Source organism: Homo sapiens, chromosome 8 (assembly GCF_000001405.40).
Source record: "Homo sapiens chromosome 8, GRCh38.p14 Primary Assembly".
In the NCBI taxonomy this organism is placed as follows: Eukaryota; Metazoa; Chordata; class Mammalia; order Primates; family Hominidae; genus Homo; species Homo sapiens.
In genome coordinates this window covers 144,640,412-144,661,324 of record NC_000008.11, presented here as the reverse complement: position 1 = coordinate 144,661,324, position 20,913 = coordinate 144,640,412, and the positions used below count along the sequence as shown (strand labels likewise).

Genomic DNA, 20,913 nt, shown 5'->3' with positions numbered 1-20,913 from the left:
AATGCGCAAAGAGGAGCCGGGGAGAGGCTGAGATGTTGCTCACAGAGCTTTGGGAGCCTTGTGTGTGTAGAGTGGAATGGCCTCCTCCTGTGTGTAGAGTGGAATGGCCTCCTCTGCTCCACACTGCCTGTGTGTGAAGGGGCCATGGTGGTCCCGGAGTGGGTGAAGCTGCTGGGACCCTGTGTAGGACTGCATGTGTTTTCACGGCGGTGCTGAGAGGGCCGTCTGCAGCCAGACTGGACTGCAGCCTCCATCTCCTGGGCACAGGTGATCCTCCTGCCTCAGTCTCCTGAGCAGCTGGGACTACAGAGTCGTGTGCCACCATGCCTATTTTTTTTTTGAGATGGAGTCTCATTCTGTCACCCAGGCTGGAGTGCGATGGCACAATCTCAGCTCACTGCAAACCTCCACCTCCCAGGTTCAAGCAATTCTCCTGCCTCAGCGTCCCGAGTAGCTGGGACTACAGATGGACACCACCACTCTCAGCTAAGTTTTTTTTGTATTTTTAGTAGAGACAGGATTTCACCATGTTGGCCAGACTGGTCTCAAACTCCTGACCTCAAGTGATCTGCCTGCCTCGGCCTCCCAAAGTGCTGGGATTATAGGGGTGAGCCACCCACCCAGCCTTTTAAAAAATTATTCATTTATTTATTTAGAGATGGTTTTTATTGGAACAGAGCAGAAGTAGGAAGTCAGTCTGGGCCAAGATCCTGAGAGAAGTGTTTTCTAGAGCCTGCTGTCCTATGTGTGGCTGCTGAGCACGGAATCATGGCTTGCAAGACTGAGTATTAAATATTACTCAACTTTACTTTAAGCATAGTGACAAGTGACTAGTGTGTTGCACAGTGCAGTTCCAAGGAATGTGCTCATGCAAGGATTGTCCCTTTATTTTAGAGGCACCAGTGAATGCTTATCACGATGAAAGTGATGTGACCTTGGCTGGCTTTTTTGGAGATTCTTTAATATGGTAGTAGGGGTGAGATGGGGTTAGGGGAGGAAAGGCTGAAAGCATGAATAATCTTATATTATTTAACCAGAGGCCAGCAAGAGGGAATTCAGTCTTGAATTTGTGAGAGACCATTCAGGCTTGTGGGAATAGGTGCTGCAGAGCTGACGCCAAGGTGCCCTGGATGGGATGGACAGTGGTGGAGACCTAGGGTCCAGGAGGAGGAGACACGGGAGCATTCCACACCTTTGACCCAGGGGTCGGGGGCAGAGTGGCATGTGCTGTGGACAGAAAGAGATGCACAATGCAAGTGCATGTGGTGGTTGGGAAGAGTGATCTGGGGAGGAGGAGCATTGTGATTCAGGTGAGGGAACACCACCCAAGGAATGTCCATCTGGCATTTGTAAACTGAGGTGAACCTGGCATTTGGGAGAGAGGTGGTTGGGTAGAGAATTGGGACTTAGCTACAGAGGGATTATAACGGAGACTGGGGGAACAGAATGAGGAGTTCAAAGGGTAGCATGTAGAGGGAAATGCATCTTGGGGCGTCCCACAGTTAGAGTGGGGCTTGAATAAGTGGACCCCTCAAGACAGCCAGAGAATGGGGATGAGAGAAGCAATTGTTAGCTTAGCTCTGCAGAGAGCATGTGTCAGTGAGCTGTGAAGGGGTGGCAGAGCATCAGAACCAGCGAATAAGCCAAGGCCGGAAGATTTTGCAAAAAATTGTTTGGGATTCTCTGATTGCTTTGTTTAGGTCCCATGAAATAGTCTAGAAAATGTCCTCCAATTAAGCTTGAACTTGGAACATTGACTTAGAAATAACACTTGTCTCTCCACTCTTAGATCAGAGGGCTGGTGTGATTGAAAAGTGGGCACTCATTGGCCTCAGAGACGTTTTGTCATGGTTAAGACAGGACTCAATGGAAACAGAAAGTTGAACACGTGAAACTTTAGTTTTTTGTAGGTCAAAAACGATTGAAAAAGGCAACATCGTTTGATCATATCTAATTGTGTTAAGAAGCATTCTTCAAATGAGCAGCTTCCCAGCACGTGTTGGGAGTTACCAGGTGTTTCCTCCAAGCCTTCAGGGTGTGAATGTGTGGTTAGGCTGGTGGTAGGCTAATGGCTCTGGTCAGCATGTTGCTGGTTATCTAGCTGCCTGTCATTTTGATTACAGTAATTATGTCCTTTACAGTGTATATTATTAATTGCTGTTTGTGTCGAGTTCCCTGGGAAGTGGACTCTGAGTTGATTTGTCTTTAGGAAGTTTACTGAGGAATGCTTTTGGGATTAGCACCTGTGGAGTGAGTGAACAGAATAGGATTGGACAGAAAGACAATGGGGCTATTACACCCTAACCCTGTTGGGCTGCCACATCCATGAACCTGGTACACCTCCCCATGATTCAGGTCCTCTTAAATGTCTTTCATCAGTACTTTGTACTACTCAGTGCATGTATTTTGCCAAACTTATTTCTAATATTGGTTAAATTTAATATTTACCCCAATATTAAACATTAATATTTAATGTTTTAATTTTTTTACATATATAATCATTTTGTCTATGAATATAGTTTTATTTCTTCTTTCCTAATCCTTCTACCTTTTCTTTTTCCTGCCTTATTGCACTGGCTAGGACCTCCGGTAATGTGTCATGTTAGAGTAGTGAGGGGAAAGCAGTCAGTCTTTCGCTGTTTGTTATGATACACAGTCATCCCTCAGTGTCCATGGGGAATGGTTTTAGGACACCCTGTGGATACCAAAATTCAAGGATGATCAGGTCCCTGATTAAAAAATGCTGTAGTGGCCAGGCGCAGTAGCTCACACCTATAATCCCAGCACTTTGGGAGGCCGAGGCGAGCAGATCACCTGAGGTCAGGAGCTAGAGACCAGCCTGACCAACATGGAGAAATCCCATCTCTACTAAAAAATACAAAATTAGCTGGGCATGGTGGCACATGCCTGTAATCCCAGCTACTTGGGAGGCTGAGGCAGGAGAATTGCTTGAACCCAGGAGGTGGAGGTTGTGGTGAGCCAAGATCGCACCATTGCACTGCAGCCAGGGCAACAAGAGCAAAGCTCTGTCTCAAAAAAAAAAAAAAATTAGCCGGGTGTGGTGGTGGACACCTGTAATTCCAGCTACTTGGGAGGCTGAGGCAGGAGAATCACCTGAACCTGGGAGGCGGAGGTTACAGTGAGCCAAGATCGCGCCATTTCACTCCAGCCTGGGCAAAAAGAGCAAAACCTTGTCTCGAAAGAAAGAAGAAAGAAAGAAATGCTGTAGGATTGATATATAACCTATATATATCATCCTGTGTACTTTAAATCATCCCTAGATTAATTTTAATATCCAGTGCAGTGTTAATGCTATGTAAATAGCTGTTATGCCATATTAAAAAATTTGTATTATCTTTTATTGTTATATTGTTGTTTTTTTATTTTTATTTTAAAAATATTTTCAATCCCCAGTTGGTTCAACCCATGGATGTGGAGGGCTGACTGTAGCTATAGGTTTTAGACATGCACCTTTTATCAAGTTGAGGAAGTTTCTGTCTATTTTCAATTTGCTTTGAGTTTTTATTTAGAATAAATGGTGGATTTTGTGAACTGCTTCTTTTGCCTGTTTTGCGAAGCTTATATGTTTTTCTATTTTAGTCTGTTAATATGGTGAATTACACTGATTGATTTTTTAAATGTTAAACTAATCTTGCAATCCTGAGATAAACTCCACTTGGATATGATTGTGTTATCCTTTATTGCTGGATTCAATTTGCTAAAGTTTTTAAATTTTAAGGATGTTTGTATCTGTGGTCATAGGGATATTGGTCTGTAGTTTTCTTTGTAATGCCTTTGTCTGGTTTTGAGATCAGCATATAGTTTGTACTATTGGCTTTATAAATGAGTTGAGAAATGCATCTTCCAGACAGGGTCTCACTCTGTTGCCCAGCCTGGAGTGCAGTAGCATGATCAGAGTTGGCTGCAGCCTCAACCTTTTGGGCTCAAGCTATCCTCCTGCCTCAGCCTCCTGAGTTGCTGGGACCACAGGCACATACCACCATGCCCAGCTAATTTTTTCTTTCTTTCCTCTTTTCTGTTTTCTTTTTCTTTTTCATTTCCTTTTTTGTCTTTTATTAATATTGTTTTATTTTGTTATTTTATTTTATTTATTTTTTTCAGAGACTGGTCTTGAACTTTTGGGTTCAAACAATCTACCCACCTTGGCCTGCAAAAGTGCTGGAATTACAGGCATGAGCCACCATGCTAGGCCAAAATTATTTTTCTTAAATGTTTAATTTTAATTATTGTTCTTAAATGTTCACCAGTGCAGTCACCTTGGCCTGGGGTTTTCTTTGTGGGAAGGTCTTAACCTACAAATTCAATTTATTAAATAGATACATTGGCTATCAAGTTATCTATTTCTTCGTGAGTGATTTTTGGTAGTTTGTGTTGTTCAAGGAATTTATCCATTTCGTCTAATTAACTCATTTTATAAATGTTGGTTAAAGTGGTTTGATAGAGATCCAGTCTTATATACGCTTAGACTCACTTTTTTTTTTTTTTTTTTTTTTTTTGAGATGGAGTCTTGCTCTGTCATCCAGGCTGGAGTGCAGTGGCACCATCTCAGCTCACTGCAACCTCTGCCTCCTGGGTTCAAGTGATTCTCCTATCTCAGCCTCCCAAGTAGCTGGGATTACAGGTGTGTGCCACCACGCCTGACTAATTTTTTGTATTTTTAGTAGAGACAGGGTTTTGCCATGTTGGCCAGGCTGGTCTTAAATTCCTGACCTCAAGTGGGTGATCCGCCCACCACAGCCTCCCAGAGTGCTAGGATTACAGATGTGAATCACCGTGCCTGGCCCCTTAGACTAACTTTTGAATTTGTCCCTTACTTGTTGAAGTTCCATACTTTTTTTTTCCATGTGTTTTGAAGCTGTGTTATTAAACTAGGCATACGCATTTAGGATTGTTACATAATCTTGATGAATTGACCCTCTTAATCACATACATTTTAAAATGAGAAAACATTTGTTTTTTATTTTTTTAAATTTTGTAGAGATGGGGTCTCGCTATGTTGAGCAGGGTGGTTTTGAACTCCTGGGCTCAAGCGATTCTCCTACCTCAGTCTCTCAAAGTATTGGGATTACAGGCATGAGCCACTACACCTGGCCTTTTTTTTTTTTTTTTCCTTATTTGCTATGTCTAGTGCTCTTTATTACATTTTACATATTCAAGTTTTTATCCAGTATTATCTTTTTGCCTGAATAAGTTCATTTAATATTTCTTTTAGTATGTATCTGTTGGCAACTAATTCTCTTATGTTTGTCAGGAAGAAAAGAATCTTTGTTTTTGGTTTTATTCTTTAAGAATAGTTTAACTGGGCATGGGATTCTAGATTGATCGTTTTGTTTGATTTAGCATGTTAGATATGCTGTTCCCTTTCTTCTTTTGTGCATTGCTTTTGATGAGGTTTTCTCTTTCTGGTTTGTAGCAATTGGATAAGACTGAACTTTGGTCTGGTGTTTTCCTGCTTGGCATTCATCAAGTTTGTCACATCCATAGTGTTACGGGGTCTTTGGGGTGTCGCTTCTCTGGCCAGAAACCTCGGTGGCTAGTGGCGCCTTTGCCCAAGTTCTTGTCCTGCATCCAGGAAGAATGAGGTATGCAGACAAGTGGAGGGTGAGCAAGATGAAGAGAAGCCTTACTGAGTGTTAGAACAGCTCAGAGGAGACCTGCAGTGGGTGACTCCTCTCTGTAGGCAGGTCGTCCTGTCGTCTCTGCAGTTTTCAGCAGAGAGGAGGCCTGGAGTGGGTGGCTCCTCTCTGCTGGCAGGTCATCCTGATAAGCATTCAGCTCTCAGCAGAGAGGAGGCCCTGGAGTGGGTAGCTCCTCTCTGCAGCTGGCCATCCCAACATCTGCCCAGCTCCTAGCAGAGAAGAAGCCCTGGATTGGGCTGCTCCTCTTTGTAGCCAGTAGTCCTGGTGTCTCTGCAGGTCTCTGAAGCTTTCAGTAGAGAGGGTAGCTCCTCTCTTCAGCTGGTTGTCCTGTTTTCTGCTCAGCTCTGGCTGATCCCGGGGCTTTTATGGGCCTCAGAGGGGAGGAATTGCATGCTGATGGGTGGCCATGGGTGGGTCTGGAAAAGGCACCACAACTTCCCACTCCAGTCCATGGGACTGGCAGCCCAGCCCCCAGCCTTCAGGCCATCTCTTGCCTGAGGTGGGGCCTCACCGGGGACCTGCCCCCTTCCACTCAGGAATCTGTCTGCTTCCTGCTGCTGTTCATGGCACCTGGGCTCAGACCCAACTTTGCTCCAAGACTGGAGTGGGAGCTGACAGCAGGGAGAAGCCAGGCAGTGGGACTGAGCACTTCTGAGTCTGCAAGGGTGAGGGGCCTTCCTGGGCCCCCAAGAGTGCAGGGATGTTTGGGTGGCTGCAGCTGTGCCCATTGGGGTGGGGCTCCTGCCTGCTCCGTGGAGCAGGAGGCTGGGTCTGCAGCCATGGTTTGGGCGGTTGCAGCAGCACCTGGGAGGACAGGGCTCCTGCCTGCTCCCAGCCACCCAAGAACACAGGGAGGCTCAGATCTGCAGCCACAACTTGGGTGGCTGCAGCACCACCCAGGAGGGCTGGGCTTCCTCCTGCTCCATGGAGCAAGGGCCCTGGGTCTGCAGCAGCAGCTTGGGCAGCTACAGCAGCATGAGGGGGAGCTTCTGCCCCAACTCAGAAGGGGCGGGGCTCCTGCTTGTCCCCGGCTCCTGCCAGCTCCATGGAGTGTGCAGCCCTGGCCACGCCTCCCTGCTGCAGCCAGCGTGATGGCAGCAGCAGGCCGTCTTGACTGGCCGCTGCCAGCAACAGTTTTCATCAAATTTGGAAAAAGTTTTTTTGACAGGGTCTTGTTCTGTCATCCAGGCTGGAATGCAGTAGTGTGATCACAGATCACTGCAGCCTCCACCTCCCAGGGTCAATTGATCCTCCCACCTCAGCTCCCGAGTAACTGGGACTCCAAGCACCTGCCACCATGCCCAGGTAATTTTTGTATGTTTTGCAGAGATGGGGTTTCGCCATGTTGCCCAGGCTGGTCCCACACTCCTGGGCTCAAGCAGTCCACTTGCCTCAGCCTCCAAAAGTGCTGAGATTACAAGTGTGAGCCACTGTGCCTGGCCTCACATTTGGAAAAATTTTGACCATTATTTTTTCAACTACTTTTACTGTCTTCTCCCTTTATTTTGGGTAAAGGGTTCCAGTTATATATATGTTGGGGTGCTTCATGTTGTCCTGTAGGTCAGTGTTCATCTTCCACTGGGCTTTAGTTTGGATAATTCCATTTGCCACCTTCGGGTTCACTACTGTCTCCTCCTTTCAGTGCTCGTGTCCGGCAGTCCAGACAGCCGTGCTCACGTGCAGACGGCGCGGCTCTGTCCGCGTGGTCTGGAAAGTGCCTGCACAGAGCCGGGCTGGGAGCGGGTTTCACCTTGTTTGTTTCCCTTTTCGGCGCCAGTTCTTTCACATTCTAGTTATTACAATTTCTAGTTATTCCAACAGGAGGACAAGTCCAGTCCCTGTCATGACCCGATAGTTATTACAATTTCTAGTTATTCCAACAGGAGGACAAGTCCAGTCCCTGTCATGACCTGATAGTTATTACAATTTCTAGTTATTCCAACAGGAGGACAAGTCCAGTCCCTGTCATGACCCGAGCTGTGGCTCCCTCTCCACCATAAGGAAGGTCCTTCGATTTTTCTAGATCAGTTTTCTGCATGGGAGTCTTAACTGCAGGTTTGATGAGACCGAGAGGGTGAGGCATGGGTGTTTCAGAGTCTCTGATGGCCAGTGTTTGTGGGGGTTCTCCGTGCAAGCAGGTTCCTGACGGGAAGGTGGAGGAGCTTGTGCTTCCATTGAAGGGGCCTCTTTTTTCCATCATTTCAGCAGCTCCCAGGCAGGTAGACGCCAGGCATGGTGTTGTGCGTGTTTATAACTTGATGGACTGTTCCTTTTACTGTTTGTAGTTTCTGTGATTTCCTATTAGTGTGTTTTGCCTGAGTTTCTATTTCATATTTCAATAATTTTCTTTTATTTATTTTTCTGAGACAGAATTTCACTCTTGTTGCCCAGGCTGTAGTACAGTGGCACGATCTTGGCTCACTGCAACCTCCACTTCCCGGGTTCAAGCGATTGTGGATTCCTGCCTCAGTCTCCTGAGTAGCTGGGATTACAGGCACATGCCACCACGCCCAGCTATTTTGTATTTTTAGTCAAGACTGGGTTTCACCATGTTGATCAGGCTGGCGTCAAACTCCTGACCTCAGGTGATCTGCCCGCCTCAGCCTCCCAAAGTGCTGGGATTACAAGCGTGAGCCACTGCGCCCGGCCTCATATTTCAATAATTTTCAACCTTGGCTGCACATTAAAATCACGTTGAGAACCTGATAAATTGGACTTTTCCTTGGCTACTTTTTTTTTTAACTTTTATTTTAGATTCGGGGGGGTACATGTGAAGGTTTGTTACATAGGTGAACTCATGTCACGGGGGTTTGTTGTACAGATTATTTCATCACCCAAGTATTAAGCCCAGTACCCAGTAGTTATCCTTTATGCTCCTCTCCCTCCCTCCTCCCCACCCTCCACCCTCAGGTAGACCCTAGTGTCCGCTGGTTTCCTTTGTGTTCATGAGTTCTCATCATTTATCTCCCACTTACAAGTGAGAACATGTGGTATTTGGTTTTTTGTTCCTGTGTTAGTTTGCTAAGGAGAATAGCCTCCAGCTCCATCCATGTTCCTGCAAAGGACATGGTCTTATTCTTTTTTATGGCTGCATAGTATTCTATGGTGTTTATGTACCACATTTTAAAAATCCAATCTATCATTGATGGACGTGTAGATTGATTCCATATCTTTGCTATTGTGAATAGTGCTGCAGTGAACATTCATGTGCATGTATCTTTATGGTAGAATGATTTATATTTCTCTGGGTGTATACCCAATAATGGAATTGCTGGGCAAATGATAGTTCTGCTTTTAGCTTTTTGAGGAATACTGCTTTCCACAATGGTTGAACTGATTTACATTCCCACCAACAGTGTTAAGTGTTCACTTTTCTCCACAACCTCACTAGCATCTGTTATTTTTTTACTTTTTTATTTTTATTATTTATTTATTTATTTATTTTTGAGACGGGGTCTTGCACTGTCGCCCAGGCTGGAGTGCTAGATCTTTGTCAGATGCATAGCTTGCAAATATTTTCTCCCATTCTATAGGTTGCCTGTTTACTCTGTTGATAGTTTCATTTGCTGTGCAGAAGCTCATTTATTGATCTCATTTATCAACTTTTGCTTTTGTTGCCATTGCTTTTTGTATCTGTGTTATGAAATCTTTTCCTATTCCTGTGTCTAGGATGGTATTGCCTAGGTTGTCTTCCAGGGTTTTTATAGTTTTGGGTTTTACATTTAAGTCTTTAATCCATCTTGAGTTGATTTTTGTATATGGTGTAAGGGTTTGCCATTCGTTCCGTTGGTGCCTGTTTTTGTACCAGTACCATTCTGTTTTGGATACTGTAGCACTGTAGTATAATTTGAAGTCAGGTAACATGATGCCTCCAGCTTCTTTTTGCTTAGGATTGCCTTATCTATTTGGACTCTTTTGTGGTCCCATATGAATGTATGTATTTATTTTTAATTTTTTTTTGAGACAGAGTCTCTCTATCATCCAGGCTGGAGTGCAGTGATGTGATCTCAGATCACTGCAACCTCCTCCTCCTAGGTTCAAGTGATTCTCCTGCCTCACTCAGCCTCCCAAGTAGCTGAGATTACAGGTGTGTGCTACCATGCCCAGCTAATTTTTGAGTTTTTGGTAGAGATGGGGTTTCACCATGTTGGCCAGGCTAGTCACAAACTCCCGACCTCAGGTGATTCACTCACCTCAGCCTCCCAACATGCTAGGATTACAGGCGTGAGCCACTGTGCCCGGCTGCATATGAATTTAAAAATTATTTTTCTAGTTTTGTGAAGAATGTCGTTGGTAGTTTGTTAGGAATAGCATTGAATTTGTAAATTTCTTTGTACATTATGGCCATTTTAATGATACCGATTCTTCCTATCCATGAGTATGGGATGTTTTTCTGTTTGTTTGTGTTTTCTCTGATTTCTTTGAGCAGTGTTTTGTAATTCTCATTTTAGAGATCTTTTACCTCCCTGGTTAGCTGTATTCCTAGGTATTTTATTCTTTTTGTGGCATTTGTGAATGGGATTGCCTTCCTGATTTGACTCTCGACTTGGCTGTTGTTGGTGTATAGGAATGCTAGTGATTTTTTGGACATTGATTTTTGTATCCTGAAACTTTGATGAAGTTATCAGCTTCATTTGATGAAAGAGCTTTTGGGCTGAGACGATGGGGTTTTCTAGATATACAATCATGTCATCTGCAAACAGGGATAGTTTGACCTCCTCTCTCCCTATTTGGATGCCCTTTATTTCCTTATCTTGCCCGATTGCTCTGGCTAGGACTTCCAATATTATGTTTAATAGGAGTGGTGAGAGAGGGCATCCTTGTGCTGGTTTTCAAGGGGAATGCTTCCAGCTTTTACCATTCAGTATGATGTAGCTGTGGGTTTGTCACAGATGGCCCTTATTATTTTGAGGTATGTTCCTTCAATACTTGGTTTATTGAGAGTTTTTAACATGAGCAGTTGTGGATTTTATTGAAGCCCTTTTCTGCATCTATTGAGATAATCATGTGGTTTTTGTCTTTAGTCCTATTTATTTGATGAATCACATTTATTGATTTGCATATGTTGAACCAACCTTATATCCCGGGGATGAAGTCTGCTTGATTGTGGTGGATTAGTTTTCTGATGTGCTGCTGGATTCAGTTTGCAAGTATTTTTTTGAGGATTTTTGCATCAATGTGCATCAAGGATGTTGGCCTGAATATATATATTTTTTGTTGTTGTGCCTCTGCCAGGTTTTGGTATCAGGATGATGCTGGCATCATTGAATGAGTTGAGAAGGAATCCCTCCTCCTCAATTTTTTGGAATAGTTTCAGTAGGAATGGTATCAGCTCTTCTTTGTACATCGGGTAGAATTTGGCTGTGAATCCATCAGGTCCTAGGCTTTTTTTGGATGGTAAGCTATTTATTACTGATTCCATCTCGGAGCTTGTTAATTGTCTGTTTAGGGAATCAGTTTCTTCCTGGTTCAGTCTTGGGAGGGTGTATGTGTCCAGGAATTTTTTTTTTCTTTTTTTTTCCAAGACAGAGTCTTGCTCTATTGCCCAGGCTGCAGTGCAGTGCCACAATCTCAGCTCACTGCAACCTCCACCTCCTGGGTTCAAGAAATTCTCCTGTCTTAGCCTTCCAAGTAGCTGGGATTACAGGCGTGCACCACCATGCCCGGCTGGTTTTTGTATTTTTAGTAGAAACAGGGTTTCACCATGTTGGCCAGGCTGGTCTCGAACTCCTGACCTTGTGATCCGCCTACCTTGGCTTTCCAAAGTGCTGGGATTACAGGCATGTCCAAGAATTTATCCGTCTCTTCTAGGCTTTCTAGTTTGTGTGCATAGAGGTGTTCATAGTAGTTTCTGATGGTTATTTTTATTTCTGTGGGGTCAGTGATAACATTCCCTTCATCATTGCTTTTTATTTATTTTTTATTTTTTGAGTTGGTCTCATTTTGTCACCCAAGTTGGAGTGCAGTGGTGCAATCTCAGCTCACTGCAACTTCAGCCTCCCGAGTAGCTAGAATTACAGGCGTGTGCCACCACACCCAGCTAATTTTTGTATTTTTAGTGGAGACGGGGTTTTACCACATTGACCAAGCTGTTCTTGAACTCCTGACCTAAAGTGATCCATCTGCCTTGGCCTCCCAAAGTGCTGGGATTACAGATGTGAGCCACAGCGCCTGGCCACGTTTGTCATTTCTATTATTTATTATTATTATTTTTTGAGACGGAGTCTCGCTCTGTCACCCAGGCTGGAGTGCAGTGGCGCGATCTCAGCTCACTGCAAGTTCTGCCTCCTGGGTTCACGCCATTCTCCTGCCTCAGCCTCCCAAGTAGCTGGGACTACAGGCGCCCGCCACCACACCTGGCTAATTGGTTTTTTTTTTGTATTTTTAGTAGAGATGGGGTTTCACTGTGTTAGCCAGGATGGTCTTGATCCCCTGACCGGTGATCTGCCCACCTCAGCCTCCCAAAGTGCTGGGATTATAGGCGTGAGCCACCGCACCTGGCCTGTCATTTCTAATTGTGTTTATTTGGATCTTCTCTCTTTTCTTCTTTATTAGTCTAGCTAGTGGCCTATCTATCTTATTAATTTTTCCAAGAAGCCAACTCCTGCTCATTGATCTTTTGAATGGATTTTTGTGTCTCGATTTCCTTCAGGTCAGTTTTGATTTTGGTTATTTTTTTGTCTTTTTTTAGCTTTGGGATTGATTTGCTCTTGCCCTCTGATTCTTTCGGTTGTGATGTTAGGTTGTTAATTTGAGGTCTGTCTAACTTTCTGATGTGGGCATTTAGTGCTATGAATTTCCCTCTTAACACTGCTTTAGCTGTGTCCCAGAGATTCTGGTATGCTGCATCATTGTTCTCATTAGTTTCAAGGAACTTCTTGATTTCTGCCGTAATTTCATTATTTGCCCCAAAGTCATTCAGCTCAGCTAGCTTTAAAAAATGAGTTTTTAAAAGTTCCTCAAGAGATTCATTGGGAAGCTAGGGTTGAGCTGGCTCTGCATTTGCCTCGTCTCTACAGTGGCACTGGCTGAGCAGCCCTCCTTGGCAGTTGTTGTTCTTGTTGAGTGGAACTTGCTCTACCTTTCGGAATAAAAAGCTTTTAAACAGCCAGAAATTGAGTTTCCAATATCTGATATCGCCCTTGCTCAGTATGGTTTCCTCCTAGGCTGTTTTCTTTCTGGAACGAGCCCTTCAGTAGTTCTGTAGTGAGGGTCTGTGAGTGCTGCAATTGGATACAACTTCAGCTCTTGTTTCCTTGTGGGAGATTGCTCCAGTTACTTTTGCTGGATAACAAATTACCCCAAAATGTAGGGGCCTAAAATAGTTGTATATGATCCTCTCTCCTGGTTTCTGTGGAACAGAAATTCAGGAGCAGCTTGGCATGGGGTCTCCTGAGACTACAGTCAAGACAGGAGCTATGGATGAGCCATCTTACTGGCATGTCTGGGGCTTCTGCTGGGGAAATCAGAGCAGCTGGGGCCCTGGAGGAGCAGCTGGGGCCGTGGAGCAGCTGGTGCCATCTTGTGGATGTTATAGCATGGTGTCCTCAGGGTAGGGCAGCTCAGGGCTCTGAAGGCTCTATCCCCTTTTCCAGCCCAACCTCTGAGGTCACAGGTCCCCCATTGTGTGTGCCAGGAGTGAGTTTTTAGGGCCACCTATGCTAGAGGAAGGAGAATTAGACTCTCCACCATTTTGTAGAAATTGTACCAGGAATTTATACATGTTTTCAGCCCTCCAGTCTTTTGTCTCTGGTAGCTTTTAGTCCTTCAGGGCAATGAGTCTGGATATGGACTTATTTTATGTACAGTACTTGGCACATGGGTGCACTTTTGCTTGGAAACACTGTTCTCCATTGTTCCCTCTGGTTCCCTCTCTTGGGGTCCCCGTGGACGCATGCATGGCTTCCAGCTGCCCTCCCCTGGCACGGCGTCTTGCTTTCTCTGCATTCTGCATTGGTCTCCAGGACTGTCCCCCAGCTCCCGAGCATTTCTTGTCTTGGATTGGTCATTCCTTCCCTCACCCACCAAAGGTCCTGACCTGATCTGGTGTAAAGTCGTTTTCATTGCTGTTTTGTTTTCATTTCCTCAGGAAGAATGAGAGTCTCTGTTCAGGCGTGGCTGACAGCAGTGCACAGGGCAGTGTGGGCAGCAGGGTGGGCGGCTGCAGGCTGCCGATAGCCTTTCCTTGTGGGAATGTTCTGGGGCCATGGACATTGTGAGCACAGGACTCAAGCCCATGGTGCCTGTGGGGAAGTCTCAGGGACTCTGCACAGTGAGGGTGAGAACAGGGATGCCACCTTGACACAGCAGTCTGCGGGTTTCATGTGAGGATGGGCTGTTCGTCCCTTCCCTGCTCTTACTGGGGCCACATGCTCGAGCTTTAAGAAGGGTCAGAGCAGGCCGGGCGCAGTGGCTCACGGCTGTAATCCCAGCAGTTTGGGAGGCTGAGGCACGCGGATCATGAGGTCAAGAGATCAAGACCATCCTGGCTAACATGGTGAAACCCCGTCTCTACGAAAAATACAAAAATTAGCCGGGCATGGTGGCGGGTGGCTGTAGTCCCAGCTACTCGGGAGGCTGAGGCAGGAGAATGGTGTGAACCCAGGAGGCGGAGCTTGCAGTGAGCCGAGATGGTGTCGTTGTACTCCAGCCTGGCTATAAAGCGAGACTCTGTCTCAAAAAAAAAAAAAAAAAAAAAATGGTCAGAGCAGAGCAGATGCCTCCAGCTGTGCCCCATCAGGGAGAGAGACAGAAGGAAACACCACCCCAACCACAGGGCACTGGGGCCCTCTGGGCGTGTCTGGTCCCGGACCCTCGTCTGCAGCAAGTGTGGTGGAGAAAAACCCAAGGCCTTGTTTCCTCACGTGCAGTGCCAGGGCCATGGCCCGCTTGGACTCTGGGCCCAGCGAGGGTCTCACCAGGACCAGGCTGTCTCCTGCAGGTTCCCATGCCCTTGGCTCAGAGAGGCGTTGTTTTCTGAGAATCAAGGCTTTCAGGTAGGTTTCTGAGAAGGAACTTCACTTTTAATGAAGGTAGCCCAGGCGCAGAGCTCTAACATTGTGCGGTGGTGCAGAAAGGACGAGGCTTCCATGCCCGCCAGCCTGTGCCCACCCCAGTTGTTCTCAGAGGCAGCCGATTCGCCTCCTGTCTTTTGGTGTCCCTGCTATTCCTCATTTCTTTCTATTTTCTCCACACTTTTTTTGGTGATTTTTTAAAATTTAGTTTTTTGGCTATCGATACTTTCACAGGATTAAAAACAAACAGAAGCCAAGAAGGCATGTGCTACGAAGTTTCACTCCCTCCCCTCCCGCTCTCTGTTCCTGCCAACTCCCAGTACCACTTTTATTGCCGATGAAACAACACAGGCGCCCTTGTTCTCACTCCTGTTTGGGGCCCCCTGTTGGCCTGGTCCATACGTGCTCTTCCCTGTTGAACACGTTTGCGGTTGTTGCCCTGTCTGCACAGAGAGAACATCCACATCCCCTCCGGTGGCCTGTGCCCTTCCTCCAGCAGGCTCCAAGCTTGCGATGTGTCCGTCCTTGCTGGCGGACATTTGGTGCCACCGGTGGGGAGGGGTGACCAGTGCAGCTCCGGGGGACGCCCAGCAGGTGGTTGCTGGTCAGGTGGTGGTGTGTTCAATGTGGTTACCTTCTCTAGCTATCCTGCCTCGGCCACAGAGCCAGCTGGGCCATCTGGGTGTTACCCTGTTGTTACACAGTGACATCCTAAAGATGGTGTTGCTGCCGCATACCTTGCACCAGCACCCAGGCAAGGCCAGCTCCATCCGGGAGCATCTGCAGGTGTCTCTGTCCTCCCTGCTGCCCCCAGCTCCCCCTGCAGCCCTGGCCTCGCTCAGGCAGCCCCTTTGGTTATGACTTTCCTTAGTGTTGGGATTCCACACAAAATAAACCTCTGCCATCCAAGGTGTATCGCTCTGCTTCCTGAGAGCACGTCTGGGTTTGGGGATGGTTTTTTCTAGAGGATAAGAATCCCTCATGTTTGCACTTTACATGTCATGTCTTTCATTCCTAACACGTCTGGGATGATGACATTCATGGGACTCTGTGCCGGGAGAGACCAGAGTGAGGCAGGGAGGCCCTGCCCTCATGGAGCCCTTCAGTGACTCTGCCAGGAGAGACCAGAGTGAGGCGGGGAGGCTCTGCCCTGACGGAGACCATCAGTGACTCTGCCGGGAGAGACCAGAGTGAGGCGGGGAGGCTCTGCCCTGACGGAGTCCATCAGTGACTCTGCCGGGAGAGACCACAGTGAGGCAGGGAGGCCCTGCCCTCATGGAGCCCATCATTGAGAGCGTGGTGTCCCAGGGCTGGTTCCCAGCTGGGCATCTGACCTCATGGCCAACCTCTCCTTGACACCTGGACTTCTCGTGCCTTCAGTTCATGTAGTGTCCCAGAGCTTCCAGCCTGAGTTTCACGGCTGTGACTTCATCCAGCTTCTTCTCCACATGGTTGCACTGGCATCTGCAGCTCTGAGTATGAGAGGGATGGGGTTTTGGAGCTGTGCAGAGCCAGGCTTAGGACCCACTTCTTGTTAGAGAGTTGCAGTTTAACTGTGGACCTGCCCAGTGTTTTCTTCGCTTCCTCCTGGATAACACGGGGACTGCGGTTGACATGTGCTCTCTGCCGTGGCCCAGCGCCTGTCACCTGCCACCCAGGGACAAGCCTGCGAGGACTGACTTCTGTCCTGAATGGGCGCACTGGGCAGGGTGTGGCAGCACGGAGCAGAGGACCTGCTAGGGGCAGAGTCTGATGAGATGAAATTGAGTTCTGAGGAGGCAGCACAGCTCCTGAGGAAGGGGCTCAGGTGTAGGGTGAAGGTACAGGGCTTGGGTTTGGTGCCTGCAATGACTCAGAGTGCAGGTGCAGCCAAGAGCTGTGCAGACACCTGGTGCTGAAAGGCCAGGTGCGAAGTCACGGACAGGGACGTGGTTTGGCCTGGGTTGATGATGAAGTCCTGCAGACTGCACTGCTCCCAAGGGCCTGTAGTGAGAGAAGGCCTCGGATGCCGCTTCAAGTGACTCAGAGCTCAGAAATGCATGGTGGAAGCCGGAAGGGGTGCCGCCACGAGCCGGCGTGCATTTGGCAGTGTTTCAATTATGGAGGTATAATTTATATATAAAAAATTCACTCATTTCAAGTATATAATCCCATGGTTTTTAGTAAATTTGTAGAGTCGTGCAGCCATCACCTCCTGTTGAGCATTTCCATCACCTAGAAGATGCTGCTGCTTTGTGCCCAGCCCCGCCTCATAGCCGCCTCCATCTCTGCCGATCTGCCGCTCCTGGTCACTTCATGGACATGGAATCCTACAATATGTCATCTTTTGTGTCTGACTTTGTTGCCTGCTTTCTTTTGTTTTTTAAAACACTTTCTCCAGGGTTTCTGGAGGGCTCTTTTAGCCTTAGAGCCAATCCCTCTCTATGGCTGAAGCATCGCATTGAGTGGGTCCACCGTCTTTTCTCCCCCATCGTCTGGTGGTGAACGTGGGGCTGTGCTGTGTTTGGCTCCTGTGAATGGTGCTGCCGGGAATGTGCGTGTCCGGGTCTCACTGTGCATTTGTGACTTCATGTCTCCCGACTAGATTCCTGGGAGTGGAATTGCTGGGTCACGTGGTAGATTTTTGCCAAACTGTTTTCCAAAGTGAGTTCTTACTTGCAGTGTACGAGGGCTCTTGTTTCTCCACATTCTTGCCAACACTTTTGTGTGACTTATTTTTTTTCTCCCTTTTAAAACATTGCCTTTCTTTTTTTCCCTAGCCATCCTATTGGGTGAAAAACAATAGCAAAATAGACTTTCTATCAAAATTCATAACCTTTGTGCTTCAAAATACACCATTAAGAAGATGAAAAGACAAGCTAGGCATGGTGGTTACGCATGTAATCCCAGTACTTTGTTTTTCTTCTATCACACGTCCTTTGGTTGTTGAGTCTAAGAAGTCTTGGTCCTTTAGTAACATTGAGTACAATCCTCTGGATTCAGTTTAGTGTCTTGGAAGTCACTGGAGATTTCAGTCGAGTGGAGGCATAGACCAGAGTATCAGAGTTGAGGTCCCAGGGGAAGGTGAGGAGATGGAGGCCACTTCGTCAAAGGAACTGTGGGGACATGCGGGGTGAGAACCAAAGTGGTGGCTGGAGGGGCAGAGAGCTGGGCACCAGTCTCTCTGTGTGATTATTTTTTTCTTTTGTTTTTCTTTTTGAGATTGGGTCTGGCTCTGTCGCCTAGGCTGAAGTACAGTGGCATGATCACAGCTCACTGCAACCTCTGCCTCCCGGGCTCAAGCAGTCCTCCCACTCGGCCTCCCAAGTAGCTGAGAATGCAGGTGTGCACCACCATGCCTGGCAATTTTTTTGTAGAGACAGGGTTTTGCCATGTTGCCCAGGCTGGTCTCAAGCACCTGAGTTCAAGCAGTCCACTCACCTCAGCCTCCCAAAGTGCTACAATTACAAACGTGAGCCACCACACCATCTCTTAATACGGTGGAGATAAGAACATGTTAAATACTGGCAGGAAGGCTGGTGGGGAGGGGGAGGGCTACTCTACAGAAGAGACAAGGGATCATTGACAGCAGAAGCTTCCTGAGGAGGAGGAAGACCTTGGTGTTAATTTTCTATTGTTGTTGTTTTGTTTGCTTGTTTGAAACAGGGTCTTGCTCTGTTGCCCAGACTGGAGTGGAGTGGTGTGATGTCGGCTCACGGCAGCCTCAATCTCCTGTGCTCAAGGGATCCTCCTGCCTCAGCCTCCCAAGTAGCTGAGATCACAGGCATGAGCCATCACACCTGATGTATTAGTCTGTTATCGTGCTGCTAATAAAGACATACCCGAGACTGGGTAATTTATAAAGGAAAGAGGTTTAGTTGACTCACAGTTCAACACAGTTGGGGAGGCCTCACCATCGTGGCAGAAGGCAAAGGGGAAGCAAGAGAGTGTGTACAGGGGAACTGCCCTCTTATAAAACCATCGGATCTCATGACACTTATTCACAGTCATGAGAACAGCTCAGGAAAGACCCGTCCCCATGATTCAGTTACCTCCCACTAGGTCCCTCTCATGACACGTGGTGATTATTGCAATTCAAGGTGAGATTTGGGTGGGGACACAGAGCCAAACTGTATCACCTGGCTAATTTTTTTTTTTTTAATTTTTATCTATTTTTTTTCCCCTAAGACGGAGTCTCACTCTGTCACCCAGGCTGGAGTGTGGTAGCATGATGTCAGCTCACTGCAGCCTCCGCCTCCCAGGCTCAAGCAATTCTCCTGCCTCAGCCTCCTGAGTAGCTGGGACTACAGGCGCCCGCCACCATGCCTGGCTAATATTTTGTATTTTTAGTAGAGTCAGGGTTTCACCATGTTGGCCAGGCTAATCTTGAACTGCTGGTCTCAGGTCATCCACCCACCTCTGCCTCCCAAATTGCTGGGATTAACAGGCCTGAGCCACTGCACCCAGCCCACTTTTTATCTTTGTTTGTTTTGATTTTTAATAGAGACGAGGTCTCATGTTGCTGAGGCTGGTCTTGAACTTGTGCACTCAAGCAATCAGCCCGCCTCAGCATCCCAAAGTGCTGAGATCAGAGGTGTAAGCCACATCTGTGTTAGTATTCTATTGCTGCCATAACAAACCACCACAGATTTAACCTCTTAAAGCAACATACATCTGTTGCTCACAGATCTATGTAGCCTGGGTGTGGTTCTGAGAGTTTTGTCTCTCCAGGTTTGGATTTGCAGGTGGGTATGCCGAGGGGCCAAGGATGAGGTAGTGGGTGGCTGCAGTGGCCCACCCGGAGCTTGTGGCAGGTACCCCTCCTCCTCGTGGCTGCACTGTGATGGGATGTCCCCCTCTCCTTGCATGATGGGTAAATGCACTGGCTTCAGAGGACACTCTTGGGTACCTGTGGGGCCAGCTCAGACTGTGGCAGGAGCTTGGGTGCATCCTGGGTCTGCGTTTCTTCTTCCCGAGCTCCCCTCCTAAATAGAGCCCATGAAGCCACATCCTCGTCTCAGGCTCTGCTTTTGGCGGAGGCCGACAGAGGCTGAGTCTAAGCTGGAAGTTGAGGGGTGTGGGAGGATGGAGTCCTGGGGTGAGTGATGGGCAGAACGCAGGAGAGCTGAGGGGATGCCAGGAGACAGGTCAGGTGGTGCTGCCAGGGCCCTGCCTGAGCTCCTGCCTCGGGAGTTGGCCACCTGGGCGCCACTGCATTCCTCCTCGATGTGAGCATGGTGGGGTCTTGGTGGTCAGCTTCGCTTTACCAGCCCATCATCTGCCTGCGTCTGCATCTCCATGTTGTCTCATTTCTGCTTGACAGATTGTAGCAGCCAGTTATACAACATAAAGAGTTAATTTTCATTCCATAAAGAATTTAATAGCGTCTGCCTCTCCTTTCCCGTCCTCTGGTGCCTTGAGGGCCAGAGACCGGTGCCCCAGGGTCCCAGATGTCATAGACTAGAACCTGAGAACCAGAAGCCGGTGTGGTCTTTCCCCCCGTGATCCTGTGGCAGAACAGGTGGATGGTGGATGAAAGCTTTCAGATGTCACCTCCTGGAACACCTCTGCAAGAACTGGTGCTGGGATGGGCCCAGGCAGATGAGAAATAAAAATATCTAGTTGAGTGTACATTTTATTATTGTAGGAAATAAGAAATAGAGTAATGTCTATATAGATGAAGAGTGGGACCCTCACAATGTTGATTTCTATGTACTAGGGTCTGATGAAATGAAAGCAACTAGAACAGAGCATTTAGCGAGGTTAAAACAGACAACTAACTGTGTGAATCGGAAAACGTGGCTTCGTTTTCAACAATGTTTCGTGGGACGCTTATCTAATACCTAATGGCTATTTATCGGGATTTAGAGAGGTTAAAACAGACAACTGTGTGAATCGAAAACTCGGCTTCGTTTTCAACAATGTTTTATGGGATGCTTATCTAATACCTAATGGGTATTTATCGGGAAAACACTTCTTTACTGCAGTGTTGTGACATTTTTTGTTGTTTCTGCTAAATCTACATTGAAGTGTTGCTTTGTAAGTGTGCTGTATTAGTCTGTTTTCAAGCTGCTGATAAAAACATACCTGAGACTGGGTAATTTATACAGGAAAAAGGGTTTAATGGACTTACACAGTTCCACATGGCTGGGGAGGCCTCACAATCATGGTGCAAGGCAAGGAGGAGCAAGTCACGTCTTACCTGGATGGCAGCAGGCAAAGAGGAGAGCTTGTGCAGGGAGACTCCCATTTTTAAAACC

The 20,913-nt window shown here is 47.1% G+C and overlaps 1 protein-coding gene across 3 annotated transcripts in view, besides 2 other annotated features; it reads left to right on the top strand.

Moving 5' to 3' along the window:
• The window catches only part of ARHGAP39 (Rho GTPase activating protein 39), a 171,184-nt gene that overhangs the window by 39,038 nt on the left and 111,233 nt on the right, over nucleotides 1-20,913 (top strand). The gene's annotated exons all lie outside the window — the stretch shown is intronic.
• Nucleotides 6,054-6,564: an enhancer, noted in NCBI's record as "H3K4me1 hESC enhancer chr8:145880146-145880656 (GRCh37/hg19 assembly coordinates)". NCBI's record gives its function as "activates a minimal SCP1, AML or CMV promoter by ChIP-STARR-seq in primed H9 embryonic stem cells {active_cell/tissue: H9 hESC(primed)}" and the evidence as "EXISTENCE:reporter gene assay evidence [ECO:0000049][PMID:30033119]".
• Nucleotides 6,565-7,076: an enhancer, noted in NCBI's record as "H3K4me1 hESC enhancer chr8:145879634-145880145 (GRCh37/hg19 assembly coordinates)". NCBI's record gives its function as "activates a minimal SCP1, AML or CMV promoter by ChIP-STARR-seq in primed H9 embryonic stem cells {active_cell/tissue: H9 hESC(primed)}" and the evidence as "EXISTENCE:reporter gene assay evidence [ECO:0000049][PMID:30033119]".